The 27,713-nt window shown below is 34.3% G+C and overlaps 1 protein-coding gene across 8 annotated transcripts in view; it reads right to left on the reverse strand.

Annotated features, from left to right (window-relative positions):
• Positions 1–27,713, reverse strand: part of LRRIQ3 (leucine rich repeats and IQ motif containing 3) — a 172,162-nt gene that overhangs the window by 61,901 nt on the left and 82,548 nt on the right. For 4 of the 8 annotated variants that reach the window (XR_007079570.1, NM_001322315.2, NM_001105659.2 and 1 more), the window contains exon 5: positions 21,479–21,638. Coding sequence is in view for 7 of the 8 variants with exons in the window: in NM_001322315.2 (NP_001309244.1) it covers positions 21,479–21,638 (160 nt within the window). In the remaining variant the exon portion in view is untranslated. Of the gene's footprint in view, positions 1–7,032; positions 7,274–15,975; positions 16,133–21,478; positions 21,639–27,713 lie in introns of those variants that run through there. The other 4 variants (XM_047445380.1, XM_017000287.3, XM_047445382.1 and 1 more) reach the window with 4 other exon arrangements.

Raw genomic sequence — 27,713 nt, forward strand, 5'->3', positions numbered from 1 at the left:
GTGAAACCCTGTCTCTACTAAAAATACAAACATTAGCTGGGTGTGATGGCGCCTGTAGTCCCAGCTACTTGGGAGGCTGAGGCAGAAGAATTGCTTGAACCCAGGAGGCAGAAGTTACAGTGAGTGGAGATTGCGCCACTGCACTCCAGCCTCGGCAACAGAGTGAGACTCCATCAAACAAACAAACAAAAAAACAAAACAAAAAAAAACAATTGTCTCTCAGATATTTGAATATTCTTTCCATATGTCAACTCTCAGAAACTAACTCTCCACATAGATTTCTATCCATTATGAGTCTAAAAATTACAAACATTTCGTAAGTTTTTTCAGAGAAAATAACACAACATTCATACACATGGGAGGAATTATTTGCATGTTAATTTCTGAAATTTATTATAATGACATAAAATGCTTACATTTTAGGATAATAGATTTAAATATTAAGCATAAAACAATAACAAACTATACCATTGAAGATTCTTAAGATTTTTTGTCCTTCAGTAGTAGCATACCTTTTAAATAATATAAATTATTCAATGCCAAAATTATATATACAGACATACGTATCAATAAAATAGAACTTAGAGTCCAGGAATAAATCCTTCAATATAGTCAATTGAATTCTGACAACAGTACCAAGATAATTCAATAGAGATAAGAAATTTTTCTCAACAAATGGTAGTGGGACAAGTGGATATCTATATGTAAAATAATAAAGTCAAACCTTTACCTCACACCACATGAAAATTAGCTCATGATAGATTATAGGTCTAAATATAAGAGCTAATACTATAAACGCTTAGAAGAAAACATAGAAAAAAAATCTTTGAGGCCTCAAGTGAAAGAATGGTTTCTTAGATATGACACAAAAAATAAAGGCAACAAGAAAAAAATATAAATGTAAGTTTACCAAAATAAAAAGCATCTGGGATTTAAAGAATACCATTGAGAAAGTGAAAAGACAACCCACATAATGAGAAAATAACTCACAAATTATATATGTGATAAAAGATTTGTATCAAGAATATGTAAAGAATTCTCACAACTCAATAATAAAAAGATAATCTATTATAAAATGATCAAAGGATTTAAATAGACAGTTCTCCATAGAAGATATATAAAGGGACAATAAATACACAAAAAGATGCTGGCATCATCAACTGCTAGGGGAATGCAAATTAAAACCACCATGAGATTACTTTGTATCCTGTAGAACAGTTATAATCATAAAGACATAAAATAACAAGTATTGGTTGGGTTTTGGAGAAATTGTAACTCTCATGCATTTATCATGTGAATGCAAAATGGTACAACTGCTATGGAAAACTGTTCGGCAGTTTCTCAAAAAGTCAAGTGTAGAATTACCATATCATCCAGTAATTTCACTTTTAGGTATACCCAAGAAAACTAAAAACATATATTCATTCAGCAATTTGTACATGGATGTTTAGAGCAGCATAGTTAAAAATATCCATAAATTAGAAGGAACTCAACGAATGAATGGAAAAACAAAATGTGGCATATCCATACAATGGAATATTATTGAGCCATAAAAAATAAATGAATTGTTGATAAATGTTACAACATGTTTGACATGAGATTTGGGCAGTGAAAAAAAGTGTTTCAACATGGATGACTCTTGAAAACATTATACTAAGTGGAAGTAGCCAGACATAAAATAACATATATGCATGATTCCGCTTATATTAAATGCCAAGAATAGACAAATTAATGGAGAGAGAAAATAGATTAATGTTCCCAGGGGCTGTAGAGAGAATTTCTAATGGGTATGGGGTTTCTTCTGGGGAATAATGAAAATTTTATTTAATTAGTGATGATCGTTTCACAAATTTGTGAATATACTAAAAACAACTGGACTGGACACTTAAAATGTTTTATTTTAATGGTATGTGAATTACATCTCAGTAAAGATGTTTTTAAAAATGGTGAAGTTGGCAATGTAGCTTCAGTAGTGTTTCTCAAAATTATAACAAAATGTAAACAATGTGAGATACCAAAGATAATTAACATAATAGCAAGAGACCTGAGAAAATTATTATAATTTTTCAGGCAATTTAGGATTCACATTTTCAAAAACTGTAACACTTTTTACTATTTCTAGTGGTAACTCAAGAATGTAAAAAGAAGCCAAGTAAATATGAATTTTACTATGTTTTTACTGTTTGATAAAACTGAAGCTCAAAATAACTAAAATGCAGAAAACAACATATTTATCATTAATTACTAGCTATAACACTTCCAGAACTTTCATTTAAACTTGGTAATAGGATCTTATGCATTTTCTGTCTTTGGGGATCCAAATATAAATTATTTGATGGCATCTACAGAATTATAATAAATCAGGATTCAAGATAGACTAGTCAGAATGGAATAAAAAATCTACAAAATAGTTTTTTTTTTAAAACTGAAGTGCTAGGAAGATGAGAAAACTATGAGAGAACTTTAAAACTTAAAAATAAATTATAAAATCAACACAAAGTACATCAGATTTAGTATTTAAAATACAGCTAAAAAGAGATAATGATTATCAGGTCAAAAGAAGACTGTACCAGAAATACTTAGTAATGAAAATAAAATTTGGAGAGTAGAGACATCCATAACCAGGACTGGTAAAATATAAATTTGGACTAATTCTCAAGTTTCAAAAAGCCTTATGAAAGATTTGTTTAGGCCAGGCATGGTGGCTCACATCTGTAATCCCAGCACTTTGAAAGGCCAATGTAGGAGGACTGCTTGAGCCCAGGATTTCAAGACCAGCCTGGGCAACAACCTTGTCTCTAAAAAAAAAGTATAATAATAAAATTTAACTTAGCTGGGTGTGGGAGTGTGTGCCTGTATTACCAACTACTAGAGAGGTTGAAGTGGAAGGACTGCTTGAGTCCAGGAGGTCAAGATTGGAGTGAGCCATGAATGTGTTACTTCACTCCAGCCTGGGCAACAAACAGAGTGAGACACTATCTCAAAAAGAATAAGTAAATACATAAATCAAAATAAAAAAATTAAAAGTCTTTTGAAAATTAGGAAAGAGCTACCAAGAAAGCTAGGACTTATCAGGTCAAAATTTAAGAGAAGGCAAGATCCCCCAAAGGTAAGTCCTCAAAGATGCTTTTGTTCTGATAAAATTTGCAGATCAGGAATAACTTTGGTGGCTCAAGGAGATCAGGAATCAAAAATCAAATCCCATGTTCACCAAAGTAGAAGGTCCTGTCCATAGTGAGCTGGAAACTCACACAGCTACAGCATGATACAAGTAAACATGGAATAAAACAGGCTGTAAATTAAAATGATACCTGAATAATCCATAAAATCTCGAGATTTAAATTGTGTCATGGTCAAATATTGGTGGTGATTCAGTTTCTAGTGGTAGAAAATGGAAACACTATCTGGAGGAAAGTACCTTCATTCTAAGGCCTAAAATTTTCACAATTGATATTTCAAATACAATGAGCAGTACACAAGACCTGAGGTATCAAATGAACATGAACAAAGACTATAGAGTTACTCTGCTTATTATTTTTCAATAAAGAATGAACAATTTTGATATATCTGCAGGAAAGAACAAAAAATTAAAATTTATTGATTAAACGTAGCTAACAAGAAAATTAGTGAACTGGAAGAGTAATTGAAAAAAATTTCAGAAAGCATCAAAGAGAAACCAAAAACAAGTGAAATTCAAAGAAGAGAAAAAGAACCATAGAGAATACAAGCTTATTAGTAAAAAGTAACAAACATCCTATAGCAAGATTTTTGACATCAGTGCAACCTAGCTTTGCTTTAACTGTCTCAGGCAAATAAATGTCTTAATAATTCAAGTGGAAAGTATCTATTTTATTTTATAATATTTTATTATAACATTCTACCTCCATTAAATACTTTCTTTACTTCTTGATTATTTTCTATTGCTTTGCCAATTGCTTTCCATACCTACTCTGCAGCAAAGACTTATATTTGTTCTTTAATATTCGTTTACCTTTGTTTTCATAATAGAATCTCTGATTTTTGTCTGGGCACATTTCTGCTTAAAATAATGCCTACATATTTCAGCCTTCCTTGCAGCTGAATGTAATGATAAAACCAAAATCTAGCCAAAGATATATTGTGTGGCATCATTTAGAAACCTTACTTAAAACACATCTGCAAGTTCCCTCACACTTTTATTTTCTATCTCTTCCTCTTTCTTGATGGCTGGAGTGTGCATGTGATGGGTGGAGTAAGTGCAGTCATTTTGGGTCATGAGGTACTATTTGACTGGAGGTCATGTTCAGAAAAGCATGAGATAAAAACAGTCAGTCACTAAGTACTGAGTGAAATAGTTCCATAATATCAGTCCTAGACTGTATACCTCTGGAGTTTTACCTGAGAGGTGAACAAACATATTAGTATCATTTTAGATCTTTATTACACATAGCTGAATCTAATTTAAACTGATAGCAATATGGTAGCTGGAAGTGGGATGGTACAGATGAAAGAAATGTAAAACATTTGACACCACCTTAGTACAGGAGATTGGGTGACCAGTGATAAGGACTCAAGATATTATAGGCTGAAGAGCTGGTGACCCTTGTTATTATGGCTTCAAAACATTTTCACTTTGGAAGGCAGGCTACATGCTGACTGAGTGTGTTGTGTTACAGAAATTTTCAAACAAATACCGTAATTGAGTGTGTCTTAGATGTTACTTGTAGCTTTTATTTAAGTCTTTTGAGAGAAAAAAAAATCTGGGTTATATCTAGCCAGGCTGAAATAAGAGATGGAAATAGAATAAAATTTTTGATAAGGCAGGTACTCTTTGAAGTCTGCAAGTTAAGCTTACTGAGATTCTAGTGATTCAGGGCCTTGTGTAGGTGAAAAAACCAACATCTCGTTCCTCAAATTGAAGCGGTTACAATAGGGGACTTCAAAGTAGAAATAAGACTTATATACAAAGGTGTAAATGTCTGCAGGAAAGATGAGATTAAGAATTTTGTCTTCCCTCCAACACCCATTGTTTCAGAAAGTTCACCTATGGTCACTATCGTTAATTTGGAAGAGAGGAAAATGAGTAGAGAACAAAAACCAGTAAGTGAAAGATCAGAAGCTTCAGGATTATAAACAATGTCTAAACAAGATCTTTCTACTTGCTTAAGGATAGAAACTACTGACATCAAATAAATCAGAAGCATACTAAGTTTTTGAATGAAATGTATTACCAAAAAAAAAAAGTCTGTCCTAAAAATACCTGTGGTTCTTCAATCTCTATAGCAACCCACAGGCCCCTAAATCTATTAAGACTATGAAACTCCAACACTCAGGAGGAACAAATTCCCTAATACCTAATTCTGATGTTGCCATAAATATGAATAAACAGGTAAGATGTTTTCACAGGGAAAATATAGGAGATTTTTCCAGATGTGTTTACTCTATTTCAAAAGAAGAGAGTGTTTACTATTCCTATCAGACTGATTTGGTAACTGCTATGGGGGCAGAAACAACTGTGTTTCCCTTTTCCAAATTAGAGTTTTATTATAGGTATGCTGTTTCTATGCCACTTTATATGCTAGGTATGTATAAGGTGAATATTTTATAATTTAGCTATAGGTTGCTAGACTATGAGTTATATCTTGTCTAAGTGAAGCAGACTGGACATCTACCAATATAACGATTGGAATTAAGTTTAGCTGCAAGTAGTGACTTATTCAATATAGGAGTACTTCCATCTCACATGAATATCTGAATGTAAGAAGACCAGGGCTGGTATGAAAACTGCAATTTTCTGTTATCCAGGATACTTCCAAGTTTCCACTCATTCATGGTCTAAAATGAAGTTCCAAGCCACAGAATGAAGGAAGGCAGAAAGAAGAGACAAAATCCATTGCCAACTGTCTTTTGGGGACATTTCTCAGAATCTGCCAAATACTTCCCTTCATGACATGGTTTGATGAGCTGAATAAAGGGCTGCCAAATCATCTATGTCCTAATCCCCTGAACCCTGTGAATGTCACCTTATATATTAGTTGGGTAGGGCTTCCATAGACTGACTGGCTTAAAACATAGTCTTTTTTTTCTCACAGGTCTGAAAGTTGGAAGTCCAAGGTAAAGGTTCCAGCTGATTCAGCTTCTGATGAGGGCTGTTACTGGCTTGCCGATGACAACCTTCTCACTATGTCCTGATATAGTCTTTCCTCAGTATGTGCACATGGGGTTGGGGGAGGGGGAGATTCTTAATCCTATCAGGTCAGGACCCCATCCTTATGACCTCATTTAACCTTAATTACTTCTTTAGAGTCCCCATCTCCAAATATAGCCACACAAGTTTAGAATTTCAACGTATGAATTTTGAAGGGACACATTCAGCTCATAACACTTTATAGGCAAAAAGATATTTGCAGATGTGATTAAGGATGTTGAGATGAGTTGATTATTGTGGTGTGCCTGATAAAATAATAGGGGTCTTTGTAAGAGGGAGGCAGGACATTAGAGAGGATGTATGTAAGAGATGAGATGACAGAAGCAAGAGGTTAGGGTGATGTGAGGTAGGGGTCACAAGCCACAGAATATAGGCAGCTTCCAGAAACTAGACTAGGCAAGAAAACAGATTCTGCCCTTTGAAAAACATCAGCCATGTAAACACTTTGATTTAGTCAAGTAAAGCCAATTTTAGTCTTCTGGAACTATAAAGGAATGAATTTATCCCATTTTAAGCCACCAAATTTGTAGTAATAGAAAACTAATATACATGCCAATACTTAATTGCTAGAGAAGCTGAGAAATGCAAATTAATCCAGACAGCTAAAATTTGGGGATGCTATTAGAGAGGAAGAGAGATATGATAGATATTAGAGGGCAAACATCACTTACTGCCACAACCAGAAATGATGGAATTTTTTCTGACTATTATAGTGACATAAGCTTTTAGGTTTGCTCCCTTTGGTAGAGGCTTTGTGTTCTGTTTTTGGAAAAGGTACAGGCAAATGTTTGAAATTGTCCTTCAATAGTCATTCCAATCTTATTCTATAATAAAGGAAACTCATGTTTTAGCTGGGCATTTGGATGATCTTAATGAGACTTTATTTCTTAGCCTCTTGTAGCTATGAGCCCAATTTGTGGGGCCTACCAGATATAAGCAGAGTGTTGCATGGCAGCTTCTAGGAACTTTCCAAAAGTAAACACAATAGCTGTGACCTCTTCTTCTTTATTTCCTCTTCTTTCTGGCAGGTTAGAATGAAAGCATAATGACTGGATCTGGTGAAACTATTGTGGACCACAAGAGGACCTGCAAAATAGAGGCCATGTATGCTGGAGCAACAGGATGGAAGGAGTGAAGAACTCTGAGAACATTATGATGCAGAGTTGTTATACCAGCAATGCACTGTCTATCTCTTGATTTTTATGTGAGAGAACAGTTGTTTTGTTTACATCGCTATTAGGGATGATTACTCCCAATTCTAACTATTGCATTCTCTTCCTTCTTTATTATTTCTCTCATAGAACTGTTCATGTAAATTTTTACTCGTGTCTCTACATACATATCCATAACATGTATAACAAAATTTTGTCTTTGAAAATGTAACATTAGTGAAGTTATTTAAAGGCATATGTGTTGTGAACTATTATAACTAAGATATTGGGAAGGAAATTTGTTAAATATATTATTCCTAAATCTCATAAGCAACTTACATTAAGCACAGGAATTCTAGCTAATGAGTAAGAATGCTTTTTTATGTAGACAGTATATTCAATATTGGATACTTTTGTACTCTAAAATCATAGCCATATATAACTAAACCATGGTCACATGGGAACATAGTAAATAAAAAATGTAAAAATACATTTAGGTCATTACTGCTAACTTATAAGTTTATCCAAAACATTCCTAATCTAAGTGTTACTTTACAATCATATAGTTATATTTAAAAAGAAATGATAAAAATTATATCTGATGGAGATGTTTAGCAGAGGGTCTCAAACTTTTTGGTCAGAGGACTCCTTTATTTGCTTCAAAATTATGAGGCCCCTAAAATCTTTTATTTATGTGTATTATATTCTTTCAATATTTACCATACTAGAAATTCAAAGTGTAAAAAGTTTAAAGTATGCATTAATTTATTTAAAATAACAATAAGAAACCCATTTTATTTTCATGAAATTACACACTATTATAAAACAGAACTATATTTCAAAAAAAATAACTGTTAAGAGTGGAACTGGTCTATATTTTTAAGAATAGATTTAGTGTCTGGCTTAATAACCCAGAGATTTTCATATCTGTTTATATATTAAATCTCTTATTGTATCATGTCATGCAGCCTCTGGAAAAACTCCATGATACAGTAATGGGAGAATGAGAATCAAAAAGGAAAATACTGTTTTAGTATTATTATAAAAGCTATATTGGTATGGTGGATCCTTTAAAAAGATTTCAGGAACCTAAGGTGGTCCCTGAACTACACTTTGAGAACCACTATTATACAGAATAACTACAAAGATAAATCTTACAAAACTGGACCAATTATAGGAAAGCCAGTCAAAAGGCAATTATAGGAAAGCCAGTCAAAAGGCATGAAAATTCTCAAGGTTATAACTTCCTCCTTTGGCTTGGAGAAGTATAATCGTCTGAAGCCTTCTCGCAACTCGTTAAAGTCATTCTCGGTCCAGCTTTGTTCCATTGCTGGTGAGGAGCTGCATTCCTTTGGAGGGGGAGAAGCGCTCTGATTTTTGGAATTTTCAGCTTTTCTGCTCTGTTTTTTCCCCATCTTTGTGGTTTTATCTACCTTTGGTCTTTGATGATGGTGACATACAGATGGGGTTTTGGTGTGGAGGTCCTTTCAGTTTGTTAGCTTTCCTTCTAACAATCAGGACCCTCAGCTGCAGGTCTGTTGGAGTTTGCTGGAGGTCCACTCCAGACCCTATTTGCCTGGGTATCAGCATAGGAGGCTGCAGAACAGCAAATATTGCTGAACAGCAAATGTTGCTGCCTGATCGTTCCTCTGGAAGCTTCGTCTCAGAGGGGTACCCGGCTGTGTGGAGTGTCAGTCTCCCCCTACTGGGGGATGCCTCCCAGTTAGGCTACTCGGGGGTCAGGGATCCACTTGAGGAGGCAGTCTGTCTGTTCTCAGATCTCAAACTCCATGCTGGGAGAACCACTACTCTCTTCAAAGCTGTCAGACAGGGACATTTAAGTCTGCCGAGGTTTCTGCTGCCTTTTGGGGGAAGTTTGAACACATCACAAAGAAGCTAAAATCCTTGAAAAAAGATTAGATGAATGGCTTACTAGAATAACCAGTGTAGAGAAGTCCTTAAATGACCTGATGGAGCTGAAAACCATGGCATGAGAACTACATGACAAATGCAAAAGCTTCAGTAGCCGATTCAATCAACTGGAAGAAAGGGTATCAGTGATTGAAGATCAAATGAATGAAATGAAGCGAGAAGAGAAGTTAGAGAAAAAAGCGTTAAATGAACAAAGCCTCCAAGAAATATGGGACTATGTGAAAAGACCAAATCTACGTCTCATTGGTGTACCTAAAAGTGACAAGGAGAATGGAACCAAGTTGGAAAACACTCTGCAGGATATTATCCAGGAGAACTTCCCCAGCCTAGAAAGGCAGGCCAACATTCAAATTCAGGAAATACAGAGAATGCCACAAAGATACTCCTCGAGAAGAGCAACTCCAAGACACATAATTGTCAGATTCAACAAAGTTGAAATGAAGGAAAAAATGTTGAGGGCAGCCAGAGAGAAAGGTTGGGTTACCCACAAAGGGAAGCCCATCAGACAAACAGTGGATCTCTCAGAAGAAACTCTACAAGCCAGAAGAGAGTAGGGGCCAATATTCAACATTCTTAAAGAAAAGAATTTTCAACCCAGAATTTCATATCCAGCCAAACTAAGCTTCATAAGTGAAGGAGAAATAAAATCCTTTACAGACAAGCAAAAGTTGAGAGATTTTGTCACCACCAGGCCTGCCCTAAAAGAGCTCCCGAAGGAAGCACTAAACATGGAAAGGAACAACCAGTACCAGCCACTGCAAAAATTTGCCGAATTGTAAAGACCATCGATGCTAGGAAGAAACTGCATCAACTAATGAGCAAAATAACCAGCTAACATCATAATGACAGGATCAAATTCACACATAACAATATTAACCTTAAATGTAAATGGGCTAAATGCCCCAATTAAAAGACACAGACTGGCAAATTGGATAAAGAGTCAAGACCCATCAGTGTGCTGTATTCAGGAGACTCATCTCACATGCAGAGACACACATAGGCTCAAAATAAAGGGATGGAGGAAGATTTACCAAGCAAATAGAAAACAAAAAAAGGCAGGGGTTGCAATCCTAATCTCTGATAAAACAGACTTTAAACCAAAAGATCAAAAGAGACAAAGAAGGCCATTACAAAATTGTTAAGGGATCAATTCAACAAGAAGAGCTAACTATCCTAAATATATATGCACCCAATACAGGAGCACCCAGATTCATAAAGCAAGTCTTTAGAGACCTACAGAGAGACTTAGACTCCGACACAAAAATAATGTGAGACTTTAACTCCCCACTGTCAACATTAGGCAGATCAACGAGACAGAAAGTTAAAAAGGATATCCAGGAATTGAACTCAGCTCTGCACCAAGCAGACCTAATAGACATCTACAGAACTCTCCACCCCAGATCAACAGAATATACATTCTTCTCAGTACCACATCTCACTTATTCCAAAATTGACCATATAGTTGCAAGTAAAGCACTCCTCAGCAAATGTAAAAGAACAGAAATTATAACAAACTGTCTCTCAGACCACAGTGCAATCAAACTGGAACTCAGCATTCAGAAACTCACTCAAAACCACTCAACTACATGGAAATTGAACAACCTGCTCCTGAATGACTACTGGGTACATAACGAAATGAAGGCAGAAATAAAGATGTTCTTTGAAACCAATGAGAAAAAAGACACAACATACCAGAATCTCTGGGACACATTTAAAGCAGTGTTTAGAGGGAAATTTATAGCACCAAATGCCCACAAGACAAAGTAGGAAAGATCTAAAATTGACACCCGAACATCACAATGAAAAGAACTAGAGAAGCAAGAGCAAACACATTCAAAAGCTAGCAGAAGGCAAGAAATAACTAAGATCAGAGCAGAATTGAAGGAGATAGAGACACAAAAAAAACCTTCAAAAAATCAATGAATTCAGGAGCTGGTTTTTTGAAAAGATCAATAAAATTGATAGACCACTAGCAAGACTAATAAAGAAGAAAAGAGACAAGAATCAAATAGACACAATAAAAAATGATAAAGGGGATATCACCACTAATCCCACAGAAATACAAACTACCATCAGAGAATACTATAAACACCTCTACGCAAATAAACTAGAAAATCTAGAAGAAATGGATAAATTCCTCGACCCATACACCCTCCCAAGACTAAACCAGGAAGAAGCTGAATCCCTGAATAGACCAATAACAGGCTCTGAAATTGAGGCAATAATTAATAGCCTACCAACCAAAAAATGTCAAGGACTAGATGGATTCACAGCCGAATTCTACCAGAGGTACAAGAAGGAGCTGGTACCATTCCTTCTGAAACTATTCCAATCAATAGAAGAAGAGGGAATCCTCCCTAACTCATTTTATAAGGCCAGCATCATCCTGATACCAAAGCCTAGCAGAGACACAACAAAAAAAGAGAATTTTAGACCAATATCCCTGATGAACATCGATGCAAAATTCCTCAATAAAATACTAGCAAACCGAATCCAGCAACACATCAAAAAGCTTATCCACCATGAACAAGTGTGCTTCATCCCTGGGATGCAAGGCTGGAACAACATATGCAAATCAATAAATGTAATCCATCATATAAACAGAACCAAAGACAAAAACCACATGATTATCTCAATAGATGCAGAAAAGGCCTTTGACAGAATTCAACAGCCTTTCATGTGAAAAACTCTCAATAAATTAGGTATTAATGGGATGTATCTCAAAATAATAAGGGCTATCTATGACAAACCCACAGCCAATATCATACTGAATGGGCAAAAATTGGAAGCATTCCCTTTGAAAACTGGCACAAGACAGGGATGCCCTCTCTCACCACTCCTATTCAACATAGTGTTGGAAGTTCTGGCCAGGGCAATCAGGCAGGAGAAAGAAATAAAGGGTATTCAATTAGGAAAAGAGGAAGTCAAATTGTCCCTGTCTGCAGATGACATGACTGTATATCTAGAAAACCCCATCGTCTCAGCCCCAAATCTCCTTAAGCTGATAAGCAACTTCAGCAAAGTCTCAGGATACAAAATCAATGTGCAAAAATCACAAGCATTCCTATGCACCAATAACAGACAAACAGAAAGCCAAATCATGAGTGAACTCCCATTCACAATTGCTTCAAAGAGAGTAAAATACCTAAGAATCCAACTTACAAGGGATGTAAAGGACCTCTTCAAGGAGAACTACAAACCACTGCTCAACAAAATAAAAGAGGACACAAACAAATGGAAGAACGTTCCATGCTCATGGATAGGAAGAATCAATATCATGAAAATGGCCATATTGCCCAAGGTAATTTATAGATTCAATGCCATCCCCATAAAGCTACTAATGACTTTCTTCACAGAATTGGAAAAAACTACTTTCAAGTTCATATGGAACCAAAAAATAGCCTGCATTGCCAAGACAATCCTAAGCCAAAAGAACAAAGCCGGAGGCATCATGCTACCTGACTTCAAACTATACTACAAGGCTACAGTAACCAAAAACAGCATGGTACTGGTACCAAAACAGAGTTATAAGCCAATGGAACAGAACAGAGCCCTCAGAAATAATACCACACAACTACAACCATCTGATCTTTGACAAACCTGACAAAAACAAGAAATGGGGAAAGGATTCCCTATTTAATACATGATGCTGGGAAAACTGGCTAGCCATATGTAGAAAGCTGAAACTGGATGCCTTCCTTACACCTTATACAAAAATTAATTCAAGATGGATTAAAGACTTAAATGTTAGACCTAAAACCATAAAAACCCTAGAAGAAAACCTAGGCAATACCATTCAGGACATAGGCATGGGCAAGGACTTCATGTCTAAAACACCAAAACCAATGGCAACAAAAGACAAAATTGACAAATGGGATCTAATTGAACTAAAGAGCTCTGCACAGCAAAAGAAACTACCATCAGAGTGAACAGGCAATCTACAGAACAGGAGAACATTTTTGCAATCTACTCATCTGACAAAGGGCTAATAACCAGAATCTACAAAGCACTCAAACAAACTTACAAGAAAAAAACAAACAACCCCATCAAAAAGTGGGCAATGGATATGAACAAACACTTCTCGAAAGAAGACATTTATGCAGCCAATAGACACATGAAAAAATGCTCATCATCACTGGCCATCAGAGAAATGCAAATAAAAACCACAATGAGATATCATCTCACACCAGTTAGAATGGCCATCATTAAAAAGTCAGGAAACAACAGGTGCCAGAGAGGATGTGGAGAAATAGGAACACTTTTTATATGTTGATGGGACGGTAAACCAGTTCAAGCATTGTGGAAGACAGTGTAGTGATTCCTCAGGGATCTTGAACTAGAAATACCATTTGATCCAGCCATCCCATTACTGGGTATATACCCAAAGGATTATAAATCATGCTGCTATAAAGACACATGCACATGTATGTTTATTGTGGCACTATTCACAATAGCAAAGACTTGGAACCAACCCAAATGTCCAACAATGATAGACTAGATTAAGAAAATGTGGCACATATACACCATGGAATACTATGCAGCCATAAAAAAGGATGAGTTCATGTCCTTTGGAGGGACATGGATGAAGCTGGAAACCATCATTCTCATCAAACTATCACAAGGACAAAAAACCAAACACCGCATGTTCTCACTCATAGATGGGAATTGAACAATGAGAACACTTGGACACAGGAAGGGGAACATCACACACTGGGGCCTGTCATATGGTGGGGGGAGCGGGGAGGGATAGCATTAGAAGATATACCTAATGTAAATGATGAGTTAATGGGTGCAGCACACCAACATGGCACATGTATACATATGTAACAAACCTGCACGTTGTGCACATGTACCCTAGAACTTAAAGTATAATTAAAAAAAAAAAAAGAAAATTCTCAAGTTTGTAAGAGTGCATTTGGAGACTATCAAGAGGACAAAGTAGATGAGAAAAAACATTCTTCATAGTTTATCGCAGATCAAGAGGGAAAATAATATTTAGAAAAGAATAAAAATGAAACTGCTACTCTCCAAATTATTCGATACTGATACAGTATTATCTTCACTGAGTGGTAAATAAAGGTATAATGTTGAATGTTTTCATTAAGAACTAATTTAAAAATTGCCTAAGAACTTGAATAAACATTTCTTCAAAGAAGACACAGAAATGCCTCAAAAGTATATAAAAATGCCCAATGAAACTAATCATCAGAAAAATGCAAATCAAAACTGCAATAAGATATTACCTCATATCTGTTAAGATGGCTATTATAAAAAATAGTAAAAGACAAGTGTTGGTAAGAATATGAAAAAGTTGAAACTCCTTTGCGCTGTTTTTGAAAATGCAAAATGACGTAGCAGCTACGAAAAGCAGGATGGAGGTTCTTCAAAGAATTAAAATTAGAACTATGATATGATTCAGCCATCCCACTTCTAGATATTTATCCAAAAGAATTGATATCAAGATCTCAAAGACATGAACACTTCCTAGTTCCTTTCTCTTACTCTTTCCCTTTCCTAGGATGCATTGTGTCATTTGATAAACCCTCTGTTCAACTCTCTCATTTCCCCAGTGATCTCTCTATTGACTTTGGCAATTCACACAGCTTTTTACCTCAGATTATGTATTAATCTAGCACCCACTTGCTGCTTTTCAAAACCAATTCTGCAATTACTTGGCTTGAAACCTTTCTTATCCACATATATGGAGCTAGGTATAATAAATGGTGTCAAAGATGGGTTTCTCCAGAAAGGGCTATAGCCTCCCTTCTAAGCCATCAATATTGCTTCCTTGGACCTTAAAGGCTGAACTACAATTATCTTTAGCCTCTGGTAGCTCTAGTATCTTCTCTATAGATTCTTCTGACAAATATCTTATACTTCTACCTAAGTAGACACTAAAAACCACTACTTCTCAGAATTCCTAATACTCAGAACAACTCCAGCTTCTTATATGAGACCCATTAGTTGCAGGTGGCTGACTGACTAAATTGTACTTCATTGTTTATATTTCCCTCATTTCCATTCTTTATAAAATCAACCTCTGCCCAGTGAGATTTTTCTAGCTCTTCCCCATCCCCTACAAGTTCCAGCATAGAACTTGATTGATTGCAAGTTTGTAGGCCTTATGCTTTACTACAGTGCCTGGAATATTGTAAATATTCAGTAAATATCTATTTAAAATAAATTGCATTACTGGTGGAACCCTAAAATGAGAGTTATACAATAACAAAGGACAATTTTTAGAGTAGATGTAAGAATGTCATCACAAAGCTCATTTCTTAGCATTAGTTAAGCTAGAACAAATCCCAGAAACTGAATAATAATAATATTTTACTTTCCAGCATAAGGAAACACACTATTTCACAAAACAATGACATAAATTGACCCCCAAAATAAATAAAAATACTTAAACATATTTTTTAGCATTCCATATTATAAAAGAAGGTGACCAGTTCCACATTTGCTAAATCTCATAGAGAATCAACTCCTTCACTATTTTCTTAGTATCATTTTCTGTTGAACAAGATAAAAAAGAAGATGAGTAGTAGCTTCAATATTTTGGCTTGTAATATTATGGAACTAATTATTCTCCCTCTGTCCTTCCCCCCCCCGCCATATTTACCTGAATTTAAAGTAGACATAAAATACTAAAAGCAATCAAATAAGACTAGTTCTTGATGTATGAAATTACAGCAACCTCACCGTGACTTGCCAGCTCTGTTCTGCAACACTCTAGTCAAAGCCAGCTACATAGACTGTGATGTAAATGCACTCCTGTGCTACGCAATGCAATAGTCCTGAGTAAGGTGAATCCTTCTCTTTCCTCTCTTATATAGGACAGGTGACAAATTATCTCATCTTTCTAATAGTAAAAGGAAAATTACATCTCACCAAAGAATATACATAGATGGTAAGTAAGCATACGAAATGTTCAACATCATACGTAATTAAGGGAATTATAAATTAAAGCAACAATGAGGTACCACTACCAACCTATTAGAATGACCAAAATCCAAAACACTGACAATACCAAAAGCTGATGAGGTCTTGTGTAGCAACAGGAACTCTTATTCATTGCTGATGGGAATGCAAAATGCTACAGCTGTTTGTATGACATTCTCGTCATACAATCCAGCAATTGTATTCCTTGGTATTTACCCAAATGAATAAAAAACATGCCCACACAAAAACTTGCATACAATATTTGTAGGAGCTTTATTCATAATTGCCAAGACTTGGAAGCAAACAAGACGTCCTTCAACAGGTGAACGCATGATCTTTCATACAATGGAATATTATTCAGTGCTAAAAATAAAATGTGTGCTCAAAGCCACATGAAAAAGGCATAAAGGAGACTTAAACACATATCACCAAGTGAAAAGAAGCCAATCTGAAAAGGTTACATACTATATGATTTCAACTATACGACATTTCAGAAAAGGCAAAACTGTGGAGACAGTGAAAAGATCAGTGGTTGCCAGGGGTAAGGTAAGAAGGATTGGCAGAGTACAAAGAATTTTTAGGAGAGTGAAACAATTCTGTATACTACAATAGTTTATACATACAATTATACATTTGACAAAACCCATAAAGTGTACAACACCAACAATGAACCGCAATGGAAACTACGGACTTTAGGTGATAATGATGTGTCAGTATGGGTCCATCTATTTAATAAATTTACCACTGTGGTGTAGGATGCCAATTGTGGGGTATAGGGAAACTCTCTGTACTTCCCACTCAACTTTGTTATGAAACTAATACTGCTCTAACAAATAAAGTTTATGAATTAAAAAGAAGAGAACTGATGATGTGGCATAAAATATAAAACAGAGGTACCTGAAGGCAATATTTCTATATTTATGTTATCAAAAAAGTAAGTAAATTTTTTGTTCACAATAAAAACGTTTTTATTTTGTAAATAAAACATATTTGAATTTTTAAAAAGATGTATAAACCTTTAGAAAGCAATAATTATCTAAAATTGTATTAACTATGAACACTATTAATATCTTGCTGACTATACCTTAATGTATTTTTTCACATCTATGTGGTGTGTGTGTGTGTGTGTATTTTTTTTTTTTTTGAGACAGTCTTGCTCTTTTGCCCAGGCTGGAGTGCAGTGGTGTGATCTTTGCTCACTGCAACCTCCGCCTCTGGGATTCAAGTGATTCTCATTCCTCAGCCTCCCAAGTAGCTGGGATTTCAGGAGTATACAATCATGCTCAGCTAATTTTTGTATTTTTAGTAGAGATGGGGGTCTCACAATGTTTGCCAGGCTGGTCTTGAACTCCTGGCCTCAATTAATCTATCCACCTTGGCCTCCCTAAGTGCTGAGATTACAGACGTGAGCCACCATGGCTGGCCTATGTGGTATAATTAAAAAGTTATCTTGTTGCTATTTTTGAGTCCTTATTAAAATTATAATAGATTTAAATACAAACAGCTCATCAGATTTAAAAATATATATTTAACCTTTAGAATAATACATCTAATAATAATTAATGGAAAGGGTTCACAGGGAGAATTGTATATGAGAACATTTAATTTTATTTGATCTTACAAAATGGCACTCAACATAGCATGTATATAGTTCCATGAGTCTTATTTATAGGAAAAATTAATCTTTGGAAGCAAAGCAAAAGTAAATAAAAATATTCTAGAATTCAAGCAAATCAGCAGTTATAAAACAAATCTTACTTTAGTAGAGCTGAATGCCAGGTTATTTTATGTCAGGTGTTTTCTGGAGGTATACAAAGCCATAGAGTACAAGATGTGAACATTCAGTATGTTAGAAGTGGTTCCGAGTAAGAGATGCCTTTCAGAGAGGTTGTATATGGTTACCCTATAGATAGCTTTCCTCCTTTGCTGATAACCAGGGAGAATCAGGCACCCTCTCCAGAAGATTAAGACAGAGGGTGTGAAATTCCAATTTTCATGCCTCAAGGAGAAAGGGTATTGCTCAAGTTCTAAGAAAAAGATTAGATCATTATCCTAGGAAGTGGACTGTCAAAAAAGATAGAAATTCACAACATATAGACTGATTCTTTTCTTTCCACATGGTTGAAGCAGTAAAAGTTTCTGGCCATCACTTTCTTACTTCACAGATGCTTTCTCTCCTTCCTTACAACATAGGAACTAAATCAGCACAAGGAAGCTTCCGATGTATGTGGCAAGGAGTGGGGATGGCGGGGGGAGGAAGGGAGGGGAGCTAGGCTGCCTCTAACATAAATATTTTGGGAAATGCCCCCATCTATTTCCTTTTGGCTCCCATGGGTGTGAGTATCTCTCACACTATATTCCTTCTAAATTCATGTTTGAAATATAGGAAGTAGATGAAAGAAGACTATTTATGCCAACAAAGTATAGGTAATAAAGGAATTACCACACAGTCCAGCCTAGGTTACTTACTATAAGTTTATAAGGAATTTGAAGTCAAAGCCCCGGTGGGGTATTAGTGTGTTTGCTATTACTCCCTGAACATATATTTTGCTTAGAACAGCAGTAACCTCCAAGGGAAAGGATCAACGATACCAAAGCCGATTTTAAATATCCTTAGGCATCCTAGCAAAATCTTTCATATTAGTATTCAGATTTTCCTAAAATCTATCATAATAGTATACAAGTTTTCCTTCAATTGGATTTAATTGAACTCCCACAGTTCTGTATTTATGCCAGCCTAATCTGTACCACTCACAACCACGCTTTAATACCTGTAAGCCATGGAAAAGTAATGTCCCTAGTAAGTGTCTAGGAAGTGTTCCACATCCTCCATTTCTTCTATTCTGACCCAGCTGCTTTTGTCAAATTCACTCCTCACGGCTTCTGACTTCTGGTTCTCTATCTCATTTACAGTTAGTTCTTGCTCCATAAACACTGGATGTTTATTTGAATATCTAGTTTTGCATCGTGGTATTTCCTAAGTGAATGTAGCTTGAACTCACTCCTCTGTCTCTTCGCACTTTAGGTTCCATAGTTATGGGAATTATTAAACCCTTTAAGTCAAGCACGTTTTATTCCCAAACAGGAGAAGATTCAGATACTGATTACTTCATCTAATTACTGAACCTTGAATTCTATTCTTGGCTAATCCTTTGTATTGTTTTGCTCATGGCATGTTTTGTTGTTGCTATTGTTTTGTTTTTTATGAACTTTCAGTATTAAATGTTCATGTTTTCTCACCTCCACCCCTTTCCCTACTCCTTAACCCTTTCACTGTTCCTTTAGATTTATCAATTATCACTATAGTTTCTTACAAACCAAACTCCAAGGCACAAGAAATCAGGTAGCTCACTTAGTTGATATTATTATTTTTACCACTCAAAATAATACAAGATAAAAGAATAATAAGTGAATAAAAATAATACATAATGAATAAAAGAATAATATGTAATTATTATATAAATAATAAAATAAGAATAATGAAAGATAATAATAAGAGAATAATATATCAACTAAGTGAGCTGAAGAGGAAACTACAAATGAAGCCAGCAGAAGATTGAAGGACAATTTTATATAAAGAAACTATTCATCAAAAAATAAAACTTACAATTAAAAATAATTTTAATTACTTTAAGAAATTGAGATGAAGACAACTTCTATAATATTCTATGAATGGTGGTTATAAAAAATAAAAATGCACAACACAATGTACATATTTATCAACTATGAAAGAATAGTTCTTAAAAAGTAACATTAATAATTACACATTTAGCAGAATTATTCAAAATACAAGGGAGATTTCAAACATTCTTTATAATAAATTTATCTTGAAAAAACTTCATAATATTCAAAATACTTGCAAAACCTTGACAATGGTACATTTTATATAACTTTATACATACTAAAAAATCTTTGGAAAATGAATATTTTATTTGATTTCATGCACATATATATTTGCTTGCCACAACAAAATATATACACAAAATATATATTTATACACAAACACATTGGTTGTCAATATATTCAAATTAGTTATAATTACACAACAAATTGGTTATCAGTATACTGATATCATACTCTCTAATCATACTCCGAAATCATACTCTGTATAAAGTATGTAAAAAAGCAGGTGGTATGCTCTGAAATCCAGTGATTTTATATTCTACACAGAGGGTCAAAACATAATTTAGATGAACTTTATAATTTTATAATACACACTATCATCTGGAGCAAATTAATACTGTTGGCACTGAGTGCTGATGAGGGACAAGTTTTAAGTAGAATATGTTTGCCTTTTGTATCCTATGTTTTTATTCAATGAATAACTTTCACACGATTTAAGGAGTTGAGAACATTACTATGCTATATCTGGAACACAGGTGTTCATTTGCCTTGAAATAAGACTAATGACAGTCTGGACCTTTTGTATTGCCTTCTAACAATGCTAATGTAATAGAAATATTTGTAGTTTAGGCTACTCAAGCAGAGAGCCACACATGAAGGAGCTTATCACAAACTAAGTGCTTTAGAAATTATAGAATGTTCACTCCAGTTAATTCTACTATAATGCTAAGTATTCATTTCTACCATTAATTAGTGTCCAAATCAAAATAAAATTATAAAGATAAAAAAGCACAAATTCTAGAGTCAGAAGACCTGGAGTCCGATCCTACCTATTAATTATGTAGCTTTTGGTAAGTTAATTAACCTCTATGTCTCTTAGTTTTCATATTGGTCAAAATGAGATAAAAAATATCTATCTATGGTGCTACAGAGAATAAGTTACATACCACTTGCAAAATGTCTAGCACAGTGCCTGGGATATAGTAGGCATTCAATCAACATAAATAAATTTCTTTCAATTTCCACTGGGTCCTCAAAGCAATTTATAATATAGCATAAAACCAATGAATGAATGTTGTATTATAGAGTTCCCACTCTTTAATAAACTAAATATTTATGTTTTCAATCACTGAGAAGTGGTTTTTACGTTATTATTACTACTTGTAAAAACTAAATAAAAAATTATATATATAAAGCATAAATTATTAAATGGTTGTGGTATACTATACTATAGATGCACCACAAAAATATATTTGTATTACATTACTATATAACTTTTTTCAATCAAAAAATATAAAGCAGGATATTAACAATGTAATGAAGGACATTTAATAGAGACTGAAGAAATAATAGCGCTACCTAAATCATAACTTTAATATCTTAAATACATTTCAAATAAAAATAATAAACTAATTATACTTACATGTTTCCAATATGCAAGCTTTCCTTTTATATTAGTTTCAGGTTTGAAAAAGAGATCCTTAAGGAGCTTATCTTCATACCCTTTGGTTATGTAAATCCATTTTGCTTCATATCCTCTAATAATTTTTTCCTGCTGTTTTTTTTTGTGGAAAAACACAGGGCTGAATATAAGGGGAGGGGAAAACTATTTGTTAGTTTTTTGCCATTAAAAAACATGAAAATTAGTCATGAGTTCACTTACATCTTAGAAAACATAGTGTTAAATTGAATGTAATAATATATTTATTTTCATAGTAGTGTTATATAATGCTACTTAGTAACTAAGATTTGTTCATCAACATTCATCAGAGGATAAATGAATGCTGAGAAATTTCAGCTGATATGAATCTACAAACAATTCTGTACTTACATCTGGCTAAGCATTTTAATAAATAATGGGAAGGAGAACATGTCTAAATTATCTATAGAAACATAAGGTAAACAGTGTGAAGTTATTTTTTTTCCAAACCTAGTGAAGAAGGAACTTTTTAAATGAGGTAACAGTTATTACTATATCACAAAAATTATATTTGTACTTCATTACAAACTAGGAAATATACTCTAGAGCAGTATGTCTAACATAATATAAGCCAGAAATAATTTTAAGTTTTTGATTAGCCACACTAAAAAAAAAGTTTAAAAAACAGGTAAGCTTAATTTTAATACTATGCTTTATTTAACCCAATAGATCAAAAATATTACCCAATAAATGGCATCTACAAGCTAACATCATACTCAATGGTCAAAAACTACATGTTTTCCCTCTAAGATTAAAAACAAAGAAAGGATGTAATCTTTCATCAAACCTACTCAATATTGTACTACAATGCCTACTGGTCTAATAAGGCAATAAAAAGAAAACCATAGACCAATCTCACCTTTGAAACAGGCACAAAAATTCTAAATATTAGTGAAAAGAATCTAGTAATGTAAGCAAAGAATAATAACACTATGATCATGTATTGTAAAACTCACTACGTCAACAAATTAGTGGAGGAAAAAAGTGTGATTATATAAGTACACACAGGAAAGTCATTGGATAAAATTTAGCAGCCTATTTTATAGAAAAATCTTTGTAAAACAGGATCAAAAGAAACCACATCAATATCACGGAGGTGATTTACCAAAAATCAGTAACATCCATTCTGAGTGATAAAATAATCGTTTGAAGTAAAATGATAAATGAGGTAGATGGTTACCATTATTACCATTATTATTCAATAGGAGAAATAAAACTAGGAATAACTGAGGAAAGCAATCTTCTCACTTCTAAGATGTTTTAAGCAGACTCCACCTATTTACTCCTTCATTCAAAATATTTGTATTAATGACATACAAATTAGTTAAGGTAAAATATACTAAGATAATACAATTTATAATAATTTAAATAAGGCCGTTTACTTTCTCATGCTGACCAGTCTAGGCTAGTGGAGTAGCCCTGCTCCATAAAGTCATTCGATTTTGTTTTACCATATCCAAAATCACTGCCATCAGCTACATGATGAATGCACTCTAGCCCATGGAATAAGGAAACGTGAAAACAAAGGGGGAGCAATAACAATTTAAGCACATAAAATCGAAGTTGTACTCATTACTTCTGCTCACTTTCCAATATAACAACAACAAAAAATTGTAGTCTGATGAATATACTTAGTCACGAGAGAGTGTGAATACAATCTCTAGTTTTCAGTCAATTGCCAAAAGAAAAGAAAAGAATGGATGTTAAAGGGAAAAGTAGTCTTCTGCAAATGCTCAATATGTGCCCTGTGAAGAGAAAAAAAAAAGTTTCTACCATGATGAAGCTTATATTCTCTACTATGTAGAGACAGATAGTATATAAATAAAATACAAAATATATAATAAGTAAATTGCTTTTTACATAGTCTGGTCTGGGATAATATTGCTAAGAAGAGACAAGATATAGCGGGCATCACAGAAAAAAAATTCCAGTCAGAGCAAATACCAAGTGCAAAGAACCAGGCAGAAGTATGCTTCATGAGATAAGACCACATTTGGCATGTCTGAAAAACAGAAAGAAGGTCACTGAGATGGAAAGTCATTGCAGAGCTTTGAGCAGAAGAGTGGCTTTGAAAAGGATCATGTTGGGGAGATGATTTTCTGGAATAGAGATGTGAGAAATTCTGTGGAATCTCTTCCCAGTGAAACAATATCTAGTGGAAATTATTTTTTTAAGTTATATATCTCTGGAAATTGTCCAAAGGGCATACAGCAAAATAAACATCTATTCAAGAAAATCTATTACATCTCAGTGTTAACAGTGAATCTTTGCCATTTAAACCACAATTTTCTCTCTTCTTTCCTCCCTTCCTCCCTCAACCCCAGTTCAGTATGACAGAAGTTCGACCCTGAATAAGTACAGCCAAGAACATAGGATCCCTCTACTACTGGGTCCCAGTTGAGGGCTATGGTATTTTCACAAGAAATGCATAAATTTATCTCACATCCCGATCCTACCTCCATGTTTCAGAGATATTATGTCAGGAAAGAATAGTTGAGAGGTCTGGGGCTTTCTTCATCCCTCCAGCTCCCACTGATAGGCAGAAGCTCTAATCAAGGTGCAACGGGGAGAGAATACTGGAGCCCTGGTAGCCCTTACTCCAGATCACTTGTAAGATAGCGATTCTGAGACAGGTGAGGCAAGTTGAGAAGACTAGAGACTGCTGTCACAGCTGAGCACTCTATTTGTGAATGTCACTCTGAAAAAAGTGAGCCACTGCCTCCTCCTTCTGATCTAGGACAGTGGCACAGTGATTTTGCCTAAGGATAAATGTAGCCTATATGAACATAGAACCTGAAGTGCTCTCCTCATCCTCTCAAAGTGAACTGACTTTATGAAACAGAGTGTGGAGAATTTCAAATCTAAAGGCACTGTTAAAGACAGTAGAGATTATGATGTTAAGCAATTAAGAGGAGGATGGTAGCTCCATGAGACTAAAAAGGTAAACTGAAGATCAGGTTGAAGTTTTCCAGAGAAAAACAGGAAAAGAGCTAAGAAGAATATCGGGATTAGAGCAAACAGCAAAAACTGGCCTCAAAGATTACCCTGGAAGGGGCCCCAACATAAAATGAATCAGACAGTGGGTCAATTTATGTTCCAGAGCATTGTTAAAGACAATAGAACAATCAACCAGCAATTAGTGGAGGTTGACACTGGGTTTGATACTAAAAAAGTTCAGACAGCCTAACAGGGAAATCAGAGAAGACAGTCAAAGAAAGCTTATACCACTGTCCTACCAAGAGCAACATAGCTGGCCAAATAGCTGACTATAGCTGGTGCACGCTCTGAGGAGCAATATCAGAGGCTTGCACAATGCAGGGAAAATAGACTTCACTAAAATAGTCCAGCCAAATTATTAAACAAATAAACAAATCACAACAAGAAACTCTGGGTGGGGCTACAGTATCCCGGATTGTTACGATACATTACCTAAAATGTCTAATTTTAAACAAAATGTTATTAGGCAAAGAAACACAAAAATGTAAATTATATACAAAATAGGGCAGACAACAGAAACCAACATAGAAAGGGCCCAGACAACAGGCGAAACAAAGACTTCAAAGCAGATGTTATAAATATGTTGAAAGAAAATCAAGCTTAAGTAAGTAAATACACTTAAAAGAAATCAAATACATTTAAAGGCATGACAACAATGCCTTTTCAAATAAAGACTATCAGTGAAGACATAAAAATAATTTAAAAAAAACCAAAAATTTTGCAACTGAGAAGTACAATAACTGAAACAAAAAAATTTTACTATGGTGGCTCAACAGATTATGCTGAAAAACAGAAATAAAATGAAGACAAGTGAACAGACCCACAAAAAGTTGAGGGATACAATTAAGTCCACCAGTACAAATAATGGGAGTACAAGAAAATAATAGAGACAGAGAGAAAAAGGCAGAAAATAAATATTATAATAATGGCTAAAAATTCTAAAACTTGATTTTGAAAAATTAATCTACACATCCAAGAAGTCCAATGAATGTAAAGAGGTCCACGTCCAGACACATCATAGTAAAATTATTGAAATCTAAAGACAGAAAATCTCGAAAATGTCTTCTTGAGCTCACGAAAAATGATGAGTCATGTCCAAAGGAACCCCAATAAAATTAACTATGGCTCTCTTATGAGAAACAATGGAAGCCAGAAGGCAATAGTATGACATTGTCAAAGTTCTGAGAGAAGAAAAAGAAGAAAGAAATTCAATTAACAATCTTAAATCCAGAAAATATGATCTTTCAAAACTGAAGGTGAAATAACAATGTTTCCAGATCAATACAAGCTAAAATAATTTACTTCTAGCAGCATGCTTTTTACGAGCTAATAAAGGAAGTTCTCTTTAGGCTGAAGTCAAGAGACCTCCATGCTTTTTAAGATTAAAAAAAGCAGAATGCTGGCAAAGGTAATTATGTAATTATTAATGGGTATAAATGCATATTTTTTCTCTTAACTAATTGAAAAAGTAATTATATAAACATATATATATAAATCCCCTCTCTCTTTCTCTATCTCTCTCTCTATATATATACACACAACTATATATATAATTGTATCATTTTATGTGTATATTGTTATATATATACACATATATATAATTGTATTGTTGGATCTATAACATATAGAAACATATCTGACAATAAGAGCACAAGGAGGCAGGTGAGAGCAAGTTGGAATAGTGAAACTACCTCAAATGGTAGCTCAAATCCACAAAAATAAAGAGAACTAAAAATGATAAATAGAAATATAATATAACAAACTCTATGAATATATCCATTCATCTTTTAGTTTCTTTAAAAAGCTTACAGTTTTATAATGTAACAATTATAGTCACAAACTGTCGGATTTGTAACATGTATAGATGTAATATGTCTAATTTAATAGTACAAAAAGTGGGGAAAGGGAATAATGCTATATAGAAGTAATGTCTCCAAATCTCACTAGACTTAAGTTAGTATAAATATGAAGTAGACAAGATAAGTTAAAGTGTATATTGTAAGGCCTAATAAAAGCACCAAGATCATGCCTGTAATCCCAGCACTTTGGGAGGCCGAGGTGGGTAGATCATGAGGTCAGGAGATCGAGAGCATCCTGGCTAACACAGTGAAACCCCATCTCTACTAAAAATACAAAAAATTAGCCAGGCGTGGTGGCAGGCACCTGTAGTCCCAGCTACTCAGGAGGCTGAGGCAGGAGAATGGCATGAACCAGGAGGCGGAGCTTTCAGTGAGCAGAGACGGAGCCACTGAACTCTAGCTTGGGCAACAGAGCGAGACTCCGTCTTAAAAAAAAAAAAAAAATGCACCAAGAAAATCACTAAAAACATACAATTAAAAATCAATAAAGAAATGTAAATGTTAAGCTATAAAATATTCACTAACAATAAAAGCTGTAAAAGAAGAGAGGAACAAAAAAGATATAAGACATATCTGTGAATAATGTTAAGATTTAAGTTTATTTTAAAATAAATTCCCCTTTTATTCTTAATATTTTATACAATTATATGATTAATTTTACATGGCTCCTATTTTAAATATAATCTTTAATTTTATTTTCATTTTCTTTCTAAAATATACTATCTTGTCGAATGATTTATTTTTTATAATGTCTGAAAGAAAGTAAACTCATAGAATTGAAGCGGTACAAATCATTTCCACAACCTACAGATATTAAAACCTAATTTTTATCTCAGAAGAAGTATTTATTCACTCTTTCATGAATTGCTCAATCATTCATTCATTCAAAAAACACTGTTCTAGACTCTAAGGACCTATTGATTAAAAATCCAAAGTCTAATGATGTTTAGATTAGGAAAACTTCTCAATGGAAGATTATTTTTCTCTTATGATGAATTATAAGGACAAAACATTTAAATTTAACTTTTAAAAACATCAATTATTTAATCTCAACATTTCTTTAATATTTCCATCTCATCTTATTTTTACTGGAGACTCCCTAAATGACATTCTAACAGGAAGTGGCTTTTTAATGAACTACTGGCTGGAGGAATTCAGGAATTATCTGGTTGCCTTAGCAATTAAAACTCTCATTACAAAATAGAAAATAACTCAAGAGTTCAAAATAAAATGGGGTGTTTGTAAAACTTTGCTTTGCCTTCAATAAGTAAGTGGCTTCATTAATCCATTAAGATCCTGGCTGGACAGTGTGAGACAGTCCA

Source organism: Homo sapiens, chromosome 1 (assembly GCF_000001405.40).
Source record: "Homo sapiens chromosome 1, GRCh38.p14 Primary Assembly".
NCBI classification, from domain to species: Eukaryota; Metazoa; Chordata; class Mammalia; order Primates; family Hominidae; genus Homo; species Homo sapiens.